The 14775-nt window shown below is 38.3% G+C and overlaps 1 protein-coding gene across 5 annotated transcripts in view; it reads right to left on the minus strand.

Moving 5' to 3' along the window:
- SHTN1 (shootin 1) overlaps positions 1-14775 on the minus strand; it is a 245110-nt gene that overhangs the window by 31813 nt on the left and 198522 nt on the right. For all 5 annotated transcript variants that reach the window (NM_001258298.2, NM_018330.7, NM_001127211.3 and 2 more), the window contains 3 exons: positions 14503-14602; positions 8145-8227; positions 2086-2195 (listed from right to left, as the gene is read on the minus strand). In NM_001258298.2, the coding sequence (NP_001245227.1) occupies positions 2086-2195; positions 8145-8227; positions 14503-14602 (293 nt within the window). The remainder of the gene's footprint in view (positions 1-2085; positions 2196-8144; positions 8228-14502; positions 14603-14775) is intronic.

The raw sequence follows: 14775 nt of genomic DNA on the forward strand, positions 1-14775 counted from the left end.
TCAGGAAAGCCCTGATGGTACTAGGGGAAGACGTCTGTCCTCAAGCATGCAGTGACAATTTGTTTTAAAGGTTATTGACCAGGTCATTCAGCACTGTATCTACACAGTTCAAGATTTACCAGCAAAAAACCCAGTTGTCCACTGATCCTTGTTCAGTTGCTTCCCAGATTTTGAATTGACATTAAATAATGTGTAACTGCAGGAAGTCATGGGAAGAAAGAAAAAGCACAAAGTGATATTCTGAAAACGAAAGTACGTATGGAACATTGATTGCTTATGATTTAAGAAGTTTTCAACTTTTTTCTTTCTAAAACTAATTTTGTTTCTTTATGGCATTGTATTTTTCTCTAGTAATAGTTTGGTTTTGCTTATTCTTTCCATAATTAGTGGTGATGTGAAAGTCATAAAAATGGATTCTTTTTCAAAGGTGGCACTCAGACCTTGCATTTTAAAGTATTTTCACACTTTATTCCATTTGATCTTGACAACAACCCCATGTGTCAGATAAGGCAGGTGCTATCCCCATCTTGAAGAGAAGAAGTGTGGGGAAGCTGGGTGACAGTGCCAGGGCCCAACTCCAAGAGCTCTGCTCTTCACTCTCTTGCCAGACACCAGCACTGGGCCAGCTGTGCCAGATCATTCTACACACTCAGCTTCTCCTCCAGTTTTACATTTCATCCTTTACTTAGAAAACTGCTTTCAGATAATTGGCACAAGACTGAACTATTTTACGTGGTTGGCTGAAGCTTCTGTTTCCTTAGATGTAAATTTACTCTTGGAGTTGAGTATTCTTTCCCTCTTTCCAATCCTTTCCCATGTACAGCCCACACTATAGCCACTCTCGCCTTGCCTGGCTATCTTGCCTGGCTGTGACAAAGTGGCAACTTAGAAAACCCATCAGAGGCCGGGCATGGTGGCTCATGCCTGTAATCCCAACACTTTGGGAGGCCAAGGTGGACAGATCATGAAGTCAAGAGATCGAGACCATCCTGGCCAACACGGTGAAACCCTGTCTTTACTAAAAATACAAAAATTAGCTGGGCATGGTGGCATGCGCCTGTAGTTCCAGCTACTTGGGAGGCTGAGGCAGGAGAATCGCTTGAACACGGGAGGCAGAGGTTGCAGTGAGCCGAGATTGCGCCACTGCACTCTAGCCTGGCGACAGAGTAAGACTCCATCTAAAAAAAAAAAAAAGAACAGAAAAAGAAAATCCTCAGAATGTGTACTGAAGTCATAACACTGGGGGACGTTCACACGGTTGAGGTAGGGCAGCCTTGAGAGGGAGAAAGAACCAAACCATAAAGGTTAGTGAAGAAGGCGAAGGAAGAAGAGGAAGTGGAGGAAGAGGAAGAACCGGTCAGTTCATACCTAATTAGAGAGGAGAGAGAGTATTTTTCAAGAACAATGTTTAAAACTATTATTGGGCTTATTTAAATGTAGTGGATATACAAACAAAGGCAGGGGAGAGATCATGAAAGGGACTCTAAGCAACTTCACAGATCCTGGAGTGCTCGCTGTGGTCTAGTTTAGGAGAGAGTTTTTCTCCTCGAAGTGACTTGGAAAACATTTGTGAAATTAATGAAAAACAATCATATAAGTCTCACTATTTTCCCCAGAGTTGTCCTAGTTTTGTTCTGCTGTTGTTATTATGTGATTCCGTCCACTATAATAGAAGCCTCAGCAAGGCGAGGGTTTTCGCCTATTTTGTTCAGTACTTTATCCCTCGTGCCTAAAACAGCATCTGGCACATAGCAGATAATCAGTAGAATCACACAAAAGAATCAGGAATCAAAGAAAAGAAAGGATGTGATAATTGTTATTTGTTTGGTGTAACAGTTCGTATCACTGTCTCTCGTAATGAGACAACAGCACCCCCAAAATAACATGGCTTCCTTTTTATACTGATTTAGGTTCACCATGGGTCCTCCTGAAACATGCTTATGTGGAAGTAAAAGCTTTTGTGACACATTAGCTTTATCCTAAGATCTGACAGTGGGTCCTGATGCAGCTTTCATCAAATTTCAAATTTATACATTTAAAAAAGGAAATATCAAACAGGGAAAAAAGCATTCAGTCACTCCATACCTTTGTCTTCGGTCTGGCTGTCTGATTAACGGGTCTAAGATGAACTCCCTTTTTAATTCTATCCATCATCTCTTCAACTGCTTGCCTCTTTAGATCTGTGACTTCTTCAGCTGTTCAAAGAACACAGACATAAATCCTCTTATGTTACAAGAAAACAGCTACTTCCTATTTTTGGTGACTTGGAAAAATTACACTATGCAATTAATCACAGTCATTTTTCATTCACAGTTGCAGAACACTAAAAATTTACTAGTTAACAGCTATCAGGTAGCAACACTTAAAGAAAAAACTTTTAGAGAAAAAATCTGATCAGAAAAATAAGAGTTATAAAAATTTGTAGCCTGGATCCAAGTCAGTATTGTCTTGCCTCTGTCAACAAAGTAGACTTTGTTCGTTTGTCCACATTTCTCCAGGTCTTTAAAATCCCAACTTTGTGCCTAATCCCAAATAATCTTTGTCTCAAAGATGTTTTTACAACTTACTGTACATCCTATGTCAAAGAAATCAGCCTAAAAAAGAAACAACTACCAGAAATCCACTGGGGGAAGAAAAGATGAAACAGATGTTTTTCTTGTTGGAATAAGTCTATAGTCAAAAGACAAACAGTAAATAAATAAAATCTATTTTTAAACTGCCATCTTTTGTTTATGAATCGCATGGAAAGGAAACATTTAAGCAAACCTTTCTCAAGTCTTTTTAAATTGTCAGTGTTAAAAGAAAATATACATGTAGCAATAATTGCAATTAGGTAATTCCATTTGATTTTAAAATTCAACTATCTATTGTTTAACGTTGCCACTATTTTGCTGCAAAAAAAATAAATAAATAAAAAAGAGGTGGAGATGTGTATCAATTGGATGAATGTAACTGAGGTGAACTTAAACTTATTGATCAGAAAAGTGAAATGTCTCTCTTGTAGAATAGCTTGACCAAAATCACAGAACCATTTCAGAACATTTATCACCATTAATGCAGTTCTAGGTCTTGTGTTTACTTCCATCTAGCTCATTGCAGCCAACATATTTGAGTTTATCTAATAAGGACCTTCCAATTACCATCTTTAATAGACTCTACACTGCCTGGCAATATGGTGGGCACTCAACAAGTTTCTACTGACTATTGGCTTCTGAAGTTTCTGCTTTAAATGCCTACTAATATTTTTACTATCTGAGTAGAAATGACTAAACCCCAAAAGGCTGGCTTCTAAATGCCAGGCAATCACTACTGCATCCCCGAGCTAATTAGCTCTAGTATTAGGCTTTGCAATAAGGAGGCCTAGATTATGGCTTCTTTTTCTGCTACAAGGCTAGACTCCATTCCAACCCTGGGTAGCCATTCCTCTTGTGTAAGCGCCTAGGGGAGCAACTAAGAGAGACCAGAGGTTTCCATTACCCTCATCTGTACAAGTCCACAATAAGGGATCACTGCTATATTCACTGTATAACCTAGGTTTTCTGATACCGTCCTAACTTCAAAGAGAATTGTCAACCTCAGAAGCCATTGAAATGCTGAGAATTAAAACCTCTCAACATCTAAACAACAGTTTTCAGATCCAGAAGTCAAAACAAGTATCTTTTGCCAAGCAACATGGGAAACATGGTCACCAAAGTTAGAACTCATCTACCAGTAAATGAAAGATGACTAAACTGTGGGTTGATCAACCATGTGCCCTTAAGCAGCATTTTCTTGGGCAGCTTCTTCTGATGGTTCACAAACATCAACAAAGGGACAGATAAGTAAATTATGATGGGTAGAAATTCATTCATTCATTCAATCATTCATTCCTTTATTCACTCACCCACTCAATATCTGAGTATCTGTTGTGAACTACACAGTGCTTTTGCTGACCCTACTCAAAACCCAGGGAGATAAAACCCAGTCTGCCATTCAAGCATCTGGTATCGGTATGGGATTTATTCCTGAGAATTTAGAAAATACTTTTTTTTTGAGATGGAGTCTTGCTCTGTCGCCCAGAGCTGGAGTGCAATGGCACGATCTCGGCTCACTGCAACCTCCACCTCCCGGGTTCAAGCAATTCTCCTGCCTCAGCCTCTCGAGTAGCTGGGATTACAAGAAGCGTCACTACGCCCAGCTAATTTTTGTATTTTTAGTAGAGACGGGGTTTCACCATAGAAAATACATTTTTAAAACATTTGATTTTTCAAAAAGTCTGCCATTTTGAGACTAGGAAGAGCTGCATGGTGATAGGAACACCGCCTACAAACAGATTAGCACTCTGTAAGGAATGACTGAAACCCAATTAAATGCACCATACAAAAACTAATTAAGGCAGACAGATGGAGAATTATGGTCAACACCATTCAAATCTGCTACAGCATCTAACATAGCAGGAATTTAAAGTAGTTTCTTATATTTGCTTGCCAGAATCATAGTGATAATTCAGAGACGTGCCACTATCTGTATTGTGTACAGATTATAAACCAGGCTTTAATTTCTCAGTCTTTTTCAAATGTAAAGGCTTAATTGGTTTTAAGGAAAAGGAATCATTCTTATCAGATTCCCTACTCAGGCGCAATACAAGAGCAACGCTAGGTTAGCTACACAAGCTTTCTCTCTTGCCGACCCTGTTTTTGAACTAGCAAAAAGCAATCTATACGAACTTCTAAACTATTAAGCAGTTCTAATAAATCTGCAAGAATCACCTACAGAGAGCTCATGGTATGTTTTGTAATTCTTTCTGCAATCACACAGTTGGTAATTGTCTCACAAAAGCATGTAATCAAGGGGACAATAGAAATATGCAGGATACTGGAGATTAAAGAAAAGGGACAAATGAAGACAACAGGTCTAATGTTATTGAACTGCCACAGGAAAATAAAATCAAATGCTCTTTGAGTTAGTGCTTCAAGGTCAGTCTTGGATCAGAAAGCTACATGTAATTAATTGGGGCTTAAATTTTAAGACCCACTTGAAAAATAAGTTAGTTCCTTATAAAAAAAAAAAAGACCCACAGACAAGACCATCATCTTATTACTAAATAAAACCTTCTGCTATTACCTTGAAGAAACGAAAATGAATTTCCAAATTCCACAGGATTACTATTTCTTTCACTAACTTTCTTTTAAAGGTAATTAAAAAAAAAATCTTATGCCACCATGATATACCATATTTCTAAAGAATACATTATAGTCGAATTAAGTTCAAATCTGACATCAGGTCATAAAGTTAAAGAAATTTCCTTAGCTACAATAATCACAAGAACCTGTGGGATGAGGATTCCCTTTGCTCCTCCCAAAGGATGGCTAGTACCTTTTCCATGTTTTTCCATGCTAACATTTTGAGTATTTTCTGTGCTGGATACTACTGTAAACACTTTTCATGTTGTGAGACTCACTAATTCTCACAACAATCCTGTGAAATAGGAAATACTATTATCCCCATTCTACAGATTAGCAAATCAAGGCACGGCGAAGTAAGAAAAGATCAACAAATTAATGACCTAAATGTATGATAAACAGTAGGCATACTTCTGAAATCCAGAACTGGCCTAACAAATACATTCTTGTCAAAATCAGAGTTATTATCTTCAGAGTGTAATGATCTCTTACATTCAATTATTAAAACTATCTATAAAATATTATAGTCTTTCTTTACAATGAAGTTTTTAGAGCCATAAGTAAGGAGTAAAAGTTTCCCTACTAATAAACTCTGAATACCTTACCAACTGTAAGTTAAAAGCCATCATAAGATGCTAACCTAAGAAAGAAAACACAGTGAATGTGAGACCAGTCACTATGTTATAAATGCAAACCCCAAAGTGTCACAGAGAATCCCAATGTTTGATGCTTTACATTAATTCATCATGCATTTAATTATTGATTTGTTCACTCAACAACTATTTTTTCAGTGTGACCTATTAACAAGACACTATAAATAACTGCCTTGCCAGATAGAAGGAGGGTAGTGCTTCAGCCATGTGTGAGTACAGTATGCATTATTCAAGGCTGTGTGTTTTTTAGGGTTGCTCCATTCTAAAATCTCAAGAGCAACTTCTATATTGGTAACTCTACTTAGAATCCCAAAATAGCAATCTGGTAGCCCAAGGATGTGGGAGAAAATACTGTCACATTTCATGAATTATAAATAAGAAAAACTGTATAGGTCCTAAAACCGGGGGTTAAGAAATTCTCGAATAATTTTTCTTTTTAATTTAAGGTGCTATCAAAGTTGACAAGTTGGTGATGTGATTTACTTGGAAGGAAAATTCATTTTATTCCAATTTCCCCCCAACCCTCTAAAATATATCAATTGTCTCTCCCGAAAAAAATGAAACAAAATTTAAATTACAGCATCAGGAAACGCTAATAGCCAGTAACCAAAGAGCAGGGCCACCCAGCAAATCACCAAAGGCGGAATTGCTTCAGAATCCTGCAATGGCTTGTGCAATGCAGAATTTGCCTTTCAGCCCCATTAATGTGCAGAGGAATAGATTCCAAAGGATTGCAGAAGGCAGGCACAGAAAGCCAATTCTTACGAGAGAAAATCAGCTTTCATTTGTAATGGTGCTGCAAGATTCCTGCTAAGAGAGAAAAAAACTAAGTCCAAACTTCAATTCATTCAATATGCATGAAAGCAGTGGGATGCTGCCAAGAAGAGTAAACCCTCAAAGAGCTTGCAATCTGCTCAGGGGGAGAGAGGTGGAAATAACTCAAACACCACAGCCAGAGTAGAGGTAGGAAGTGGGACATTAAATCCTTAAAGTAACAGAATTTAAAGCAAAATGCTGTCACAATGCATGGTAATGAGCTACTCATTACCATGTTGTTTATACTAACAAAATACGATAAAGAGGAGGATGAAGAGTCTGGAACACACCAGCTATCTGCCCAGAATCTGCACGGAGGCTATGGAATTAGAACGGCAGGCACAGGGGACCAAGATCTGGCCTCCTTGTTTTAAGCCTTTGCTGTCACTGTGGCTGCACACCAAACAGACTCCAGTGCATCTAGCCATTTGCTGGCTCTGCTCAATGGGAGGGCCCTTCTCCTTCCAGTCCCATCTCATCATTGTCCTGTATATCTCGATCTCCAATGAACCAGAGTCCTGTGAATTTTACCTCCCTAAATAGTTCCTGAATTCATGCATGTCTCTCTACCCCTGCTGCTACTACCCTCATGTAAGCTACCATCAACATTCATCTGAATGACTGCAATAGTCTTCCCTCATCCACCCTTATCCAGTTACAGTCTGTTCTCTCACTGCAGCCAGGGTGATTTTTTTTTAAGGACAATTCTCATCACGTTATACCTCTGCTTAAAATTTCTACTGCTCTTAGGAGAAATGCCAGAACCTTGACCTTGACCTCCAGAATCTGGCTCCTGCCTACCTATTAGACCTCCTCTCTTGGACACCATGTTCCAGCCATACCAACTTTCTTTCAGTTTCCTAATATGCCAAGTTCCTTCCTGGACACTTTGGACCTTTGAATCCACTGCTCCTCTATTTAAAATGGTTTTACCCTAAACACCACCACCCAACCCACCCAATGTTCTAAAGGCACAACTACTCAGCTTGAACATCATTTTCAGACACCAGCAGTCCACTTCCACAATCTCCTAGCACTGTGTACTCCTCTTTAATTGTATTTAAATAATTACATATTTACTTGTTTACTTCCTGCCTAGTTACACTAGAATGTAACTTCTATATCGTGTACCTCCAGCACACAACAGTGGAGTAGTACATACTAAGTGCTTGATAAAGTCCCAGGTCACTTGCTACCAACTCTAAGAAGTCTTGCCCCAAATCCCTCATTTGGAATTACTCCCTCTCTTTCCTGTACACTCCAAGGTACCCTGACCTTTAATGAAAATATATTTGCCAGTATGTCTCTTATTACAGTGAGGTGTGCGTGTTTATCTCCTCTAGATAATAAACTACAGGAAGGCAATGACGGTTACTGGTTCATTCTTACAGCTGTTCAGTGCTTCATACTACTCTCCCAACAACATGTTTATAGTCAAAGAACTTAACAAATATGTGAATTGCCCCAAAATGGTACACCATCAACCACTTACACCAATAGAAGTGATGCTTACTTGTTTCTGGTTGAGTTGCCTTTTCTTTCTTAGCACCACTGCCACTGGGGTGGGATCGTTTCCGGATCATGGACATGAGGGATCTTTGGGAGAAAGAAAAAGATCAACAGGAGATTACTGGATGCCTAGATCCTAAATAACCAGTAAAAATCTCACTCTTTGATAGGTGCATGAATATATAACTAGAATCTAAGTAGTCTACGTTCCATTTTTAATAATATTAAACTTTTCATCACTTTACAGAAGAGAAACACGTCTCATCCTCTTCTGTATAAAACCAAACTGATTATTGGAGAGAGTACACTACTATAATAATAAAATGCATACACACTTACAAAGGAAAAGAGACAAAAAATTTCAATACTCATATATATAAAATTCAGAAACAGCTATCTATGTACTATGTTAGAGGGGGAGGGAAGAATGAAAGAATTAGGGAATGTTTCACAGTAAAAAGTGTATGTTATCAGTAAATATCTATTTGTGAACTATGGGTATAAAAACATCTGAATCAGCATGATGTAGACTAAATACTTATGGATAAAACATATTTACATCACTCTCTCTCTGGTCCATTTAAAAACAAATCTATGTAAAATCAAATTATGATAAATTTGACTATACTAAAATTTTATAACCTTTGATATTATGCAGAATAAAAAGACAAGGATATATAAAGAAATTCTACAGATCAATGAGAAAAAGCACATAATTCAAGACAAAATGGAAGAGAACCTTGCAACTCCAAAAAAGATGTCCAAATTTCCAATACATATACAAAAGAGGTACTTGACTTCATTAGCTATTAGGCAAACACAAAACCACACTGGGATATCACTATACATTCATCAAATAGACAAAAAAAATCTGATAATATCAAGTGTTAGTGGGTTTGTGGAGTAACAGAAGTTCCCAAACCAAACAGGATATATAAATTAATAGTACATTTCACTCTGGAAAACTCTTTGTAATTATCTAGTAGAGCCAAAAATATATGTATCTTATGAGCCAGTGATTCCACTGCCATATATCCTACAGAAAGGCAAGCACTTGCGCACCAGAATACATGAACAAGAATGTTCATGAAGAATTTCCGTAATTCCCCAGAACTGGTAATAACTCAAATGTCCATCAGCACCACAATGGATAAGTACATTCTGAGACCTTCATAAAGTGAATTATATATCACTGAATATGAATAGACTTAAGCTACACAACATGGATGAATCTTACAAAATAATACAGAGTAGGCCGTGTGCAGTGGCTCACACGTGTAATCCCAGCACTTTGGGAGGCCAAGGTGGGCAGATCACCTGAGGTCAGGAGTTCGAGACCAGCCTGGCCAACATGGCAAAACCCTGTCTCTACTAAAAATATGAAAAAATTAGCTGGGCGTGGTGGCGGACATCTGTAATCCCAGCTACTTGGGAAGCTGAGCAGGAGAATCGCTTGAACCTGGGAGGCGGAAGTTGCAGTAAGCCAAGATCACACCATTGCACTCCAGCCTGGGCAACAAAAGCAAAACTCCATCTCAAAAAAAAAAATAAAAATAATAATAATGTAGAGTAAAAAGAGCAAGATCACAATGATACATGAAAATTCCAATTACATAAAGTTCAAAACCAGGCCATACAGATATTTACAATAGTTTAGGGATACATATTAGGCAAGAAAATTTTTCTTCAATAATGCAAGGAAATGATCACCATAAAAGATAGTAATTAGGGAGGAAGGTGGTTATCTTTGGAAAAGGATCAAAGGAAAGAATTAGGGTACCAGTATTGCCTATTTCTTGATTTGGAGGGTGATTACATAGATGCTCACTTTAACATTCTTTTAAAACTGTACATAGGCTTGTGTACATATCTGCATATAGCATCATTTCCTCCATAAAATGTTTACCAAAACATGAATGAATCAAGAATTTTTGAATTCTTTCAACTGCATCATAAATGTCCTCAGTGTGGTGAACTGTATTTGCAAAACAGTCCTGAGGAAGCCAGCAATAGAAAACACATACTTGGAGGATAAAAAAGGCATAACATTGCCCTTAGGAAAAGGGGCAAATGGATATACAGAGTAACACCTGTTCAGAAGATATCATCACCCAATGCTTCCTTTCTTTCCTTTTTTTTTTTTTGAGACAGGGTCTCACTCTGTTGCCCATGCTGGAGTACAAGGGCACAGTCACCACTCATTGCAGCTCCGATCTCCTGCACTCAACTGATCTTACTGCCTCAGCCTTTGGAGTAGCTGGGACTACAGGTACACCACCACTCCTGGTTAATGTTTTTTAATTTTTTGCAGTGGTCTCATCATGTTGCCCAGGCTGGTCCTGAACTCCTGGCCTCAAGCAATCTTCCTGCCTTGGCCTCCCAAAAGGCTGGGATTACAGGCGTGAGCCACTGTGCCCAGCCTCCAGTTTCTTAATCGTTCTAATTTCTAGCTTTTTTTTACTTTTCACTTCTACGTTTGCTTATATTATTAATCCCCTTCCTAATTGCCTTTTCTTAAAATTCCCAAACTCACTGGATAATCTCCCATAAAGCATAGTAAAAAGAAAAAAACACATCCTGCTCTATCTAGCTTGGGAACCAATCATGGAGCTTCTGACTTTGTCTAGTTTCTCTTCTTTGGGCTTGCAATGGCCAAATGGAATTAAATTATTTTCACAAAAGTTAGAAATTCTAATTTACACAGAACTTTGAAATAAGCACATTTTATTCTAGAAGTTATAAAGAATAAAACAAACTTTACTTGCTCAATTTTCCATTCTGTCAGCTGAATCTACTTGTTACCACTCCATGGCGGGCTGGGTGTGAGGAGGGTTCTCACTAATCAGATGCCTCACCTTACCCTTGCACCACACTCTGCACTGACCTCGCCTCTCGTTCTGTGAGATTTTGCAAGTGTACATTATTGTACATAAAGACGATGAAGCAGGAATTTATCTGTACTGCTCAGAGTACTTATATATATATTTACACACGGGAAGAAGAATATGTTTATTAGCATAAACCACCTAGATGATGGAAAGTGTTAGCTTAAAGGACTCTGAGTTGAAGCATAAGCTGTAGACATACAGTGCTCAAAGGAAAATCATTGCAATATTAAAACCAACAGTCAAGATGGGACTCAGACTACAGGGAAGGCAGGACTCACAGGCCAGAGGAGATTAGGTCAAGACCTCTGGGACCCATACTCAAACCTCTGGCCATCACTGCCCCATTTCACTGTCATTTCAATTGAATGAATAAAATTTCAGGCATGTGTCATCCCAAGATGGAACATTTCAGTGGAGAATTTTCACCTATTTTTTTTTTTTTTTTTTTTTTTTTTTTTGAGATGGAGTCTCGCTCTGTCGCCCAGGCTGGAGTGCAGTGGCGCAATCTTGGCTCGCTGCAAGCTCTGCCTCCCAGGTTCACACCATTCTCCTGCCTCAGCCTCCCAAGTGGCTGGGACTACAGGCACCCACCACGCCTGGCTAATTTTTTTTGTATTTTTAGTAGAGACGGGGTTTCACCATGTTAGCCAGGATGGTCTCAATCTCCTGACCTTGTGATCCGCCCGCCTCGGCCTCCCAAAGTGCTGGGATTACAGGCGTGAGCCACTGCGCCCGGCCTTCACCTGTTAGTTTTTCAAGAGGTGTTCGTCATGTCCACTGTGATAGTTATTTTGTGTGTCAACCTGACTGGGCCACGGGGTGCCTGAGATACTTGGTTAAACACTATTCTGGTGTTTCCATGAGGATGTTGTGGATGACATTAACATTTCAATCAGTAGACTGAGTAAAGCAGATGGTCCTCCCTGAGGTGGGTGGCCCTCAGCCAATCATTTGAAGGCCTAATTAGAACAACAAGGCTGATCCTCCCTCAACTAACAGGGAATTCCTCCTGCCTGACTGCCTTCTAACTGGGTTATTGGCTTTTTCTTGCTTTCGAACTTGAACTGAAACACTGCCACTTCCTGGGTCTTGAGCCTGTCAAACTTTGGAATAAAACTACACCATAGGTTCTCCCAGTTCTCAGGCCCTTAGACTCAGCCTGGAACCACACCATTGACACTTTTGGGTGTCCAAGTTGCCAACTCACCCTACAGATCTTGGGGTTTGACAGCCTCCATAATCACATGAGCCAACTCCTTATAATAAATCTGTATTTATATCTGCCTATATCTGTATCTATAGATATACACATTCTATTGGTTCTGTTTCTCTAAAAAAAGCACTTAATAGCCTCAACCCTCTCCCCATGAACTATATCTGCATAGAACCTGTCCTACTTTCACTACCACTGGGACAAAGTGACCAAGGTTTGCCTTCTTCCTCTTTCTTCTATCTATTCTTGGAGTCAAATGAGTGGGAAGAGAAGGGAAAAGCAGTAAGCCACTTAAGCTACAGGCCCTAGTCTTTTTTTTTCTTCCCACTTTCATTTCTAACCATGATTTACATCAGGATAAAACAAATAGATCAGGAACAAAGTTAGAAAACTTTGATTTGTGAATTCAAAATCCACTCAAACTCAATACATGTGCAAATATACCTCTTTGACAAGAAAGCACTCCTCACAAAAAAAAAACTCTTTTCTTTAAAAAATTATGTCCTATACTATTTAAATTCATCTTAAAATAAAAATCATATTATTCAATAAAATTTTCTTTAAAGAGCCTTATAAAAGAGTTCACACTTGAGACACAAATAGTCCTGAACATTCGTTTCTCAGCGTAACTGTAAAGTGCTCTTTGGGAAAAAAAATTCTACTTAGGTTATACTTTACTTTTAATTCTAGGGGCTCTCAACATTTCTGAGAATAAAAATTAAAGGCCAACAGCAAGACTGTAATTACTTTTTAATCGTTCTCCCTCTTCATGGACAGAAGTGACCTTTCTTATCAGCTCAAAATCCCAGACCTTAGAGAAAGATCAAAGTGATGAATTTCCAATTTTAAATGTCAAATCCAGAATATCTCCTACAGATTTAGCTACCCAGGAGAGAAAGATTTTAAAATACCTGAAATTCTTTCAATTGACTCTTGGATCGATCACGTGTAAAAATTATTTTGCCTTAACTACTTCAATGGCTTAAAGTAGATTATGTCATACCCTACTCAGTAAGGAAAACTAATGAGAATCTTTTTAAAAGGCAAAGTCCCATTTTCATAGTTGTGTGGGAGGAACATGCTACGCATTCTATTCAGATGGATCAGCAAAGGTGCAAAGTATGAATAAATGGCCTCTCTGTGTGAAAGGATTAAACAAATCACATGAGTTAATGAAAGGTTTAAAAAAAAAAAAAACCCTAGAAAAAGTTTTAAAATGCCATTTGTTAAAGAATAAATTATACAAAAGCAGCTAACATCATGACATGAGCATGTAAGCTGTCACCATGGCAAGGAGGTTGTCTTATGTAATTCTAGATGGTGGCATGTGGAACCACAAAAAAGGCAAAATTTGACTCTAAATCTCCTAGTGTGTATTGTGCTCAAGTGATGTACATAATGCCATCATGTCACCTTAGGCTTCAGAAAATACGAATTCCTGTCTGCATATGTGACTTCCTGCCACAAGAATTTAAACATAATCTATCTTTCTTATGGACGGTTCCTCTCTTAGCATTACTAAAGGTATAAATATGAGGTTAGGGATAAAAGTAATTAATACTTCTAGTTTAATTACTAGTTTATAACAATTAGCATGTTTACGTTTTCATTTAGTATTTTTATTTTTAAAATAATTGAACAAACCACAGCTTTTCAAATTTGAATTAGCAAGACAGAAAAGTAAACACATTCTGGAAAAGCTCAAAATTCCTTGTTCTTACCATTAAAGGAAATCTTAATGTTATTGAATGAAATTTGTATACTACAAGAAGGGAATAATATATTGGCTTGTTAGGCCATTCTCATGCTGCTAATAAAGATATACCCGAGACTCGGTAATTATAAAGGAAAGAGGTTTAATTGACTCACAGTTCCACATGGCTGGGGAGGCCTCACAATCATGGCGGAAGGCAAGGAGAAGCAAGTCACATCTTACATGGCAGCAGGGAAGAGAGAACTTGTGCAGGAGAACTCCTCTTTATAAAACCATCAGATCTCATGAGATTCACTATCATGAGAATAGCATGGAAAGACCCACCCTCATGATTCAATTACCTCCCACGATACGTGAGAATTGTGGGAGCTACAATTCAAGAGGAAATTTGGGTGGGGACACAACCAAACCATATCACTGGCCTTTAGAAAAATTTCCAAGAGAAGCATCAGCTAGTATCTTTCATGCTTTTAAGATGACTCCTCTTATGGCACAATCTGATGGAGAAGAACATTTGATGCAGAGCAGTCTTCCTGGATGTGCTTACCGGATAGGATTGGGAGGTGGAGGGGGAAGTGGTGGTGGAGGAGGAGGTGGTGGAGGTACTGAATTCTCAGACTGGTTCACTCGTTTCTGGAGTTCATCAACTGCACAGAGAGCAAACATTCAGAAGAGAGCTGAAATAAGCAACTAAACATTGTTTATACATGTGAAAAAAAGAACATAACCTTTCTCAAAAGTAAGTTCTTTTTATTAAGGCAAAATTAGAAATTTCAATATGAAATTACAGACCTTTTTAAACTTTTCACTATCTAGTCTA

This window comes from Homo sapiens, chromosome 10 (assembly GCF_000001405.40).
Source record: "Homo sapiens chromosome 10, GRCh38.p14 Primary Assembly".
Lineage (NCBI taxonomy): Eukaryota > Metazoa > Chordata > Mammalia > Primates > Hominidae > Homo > Homo sapiens.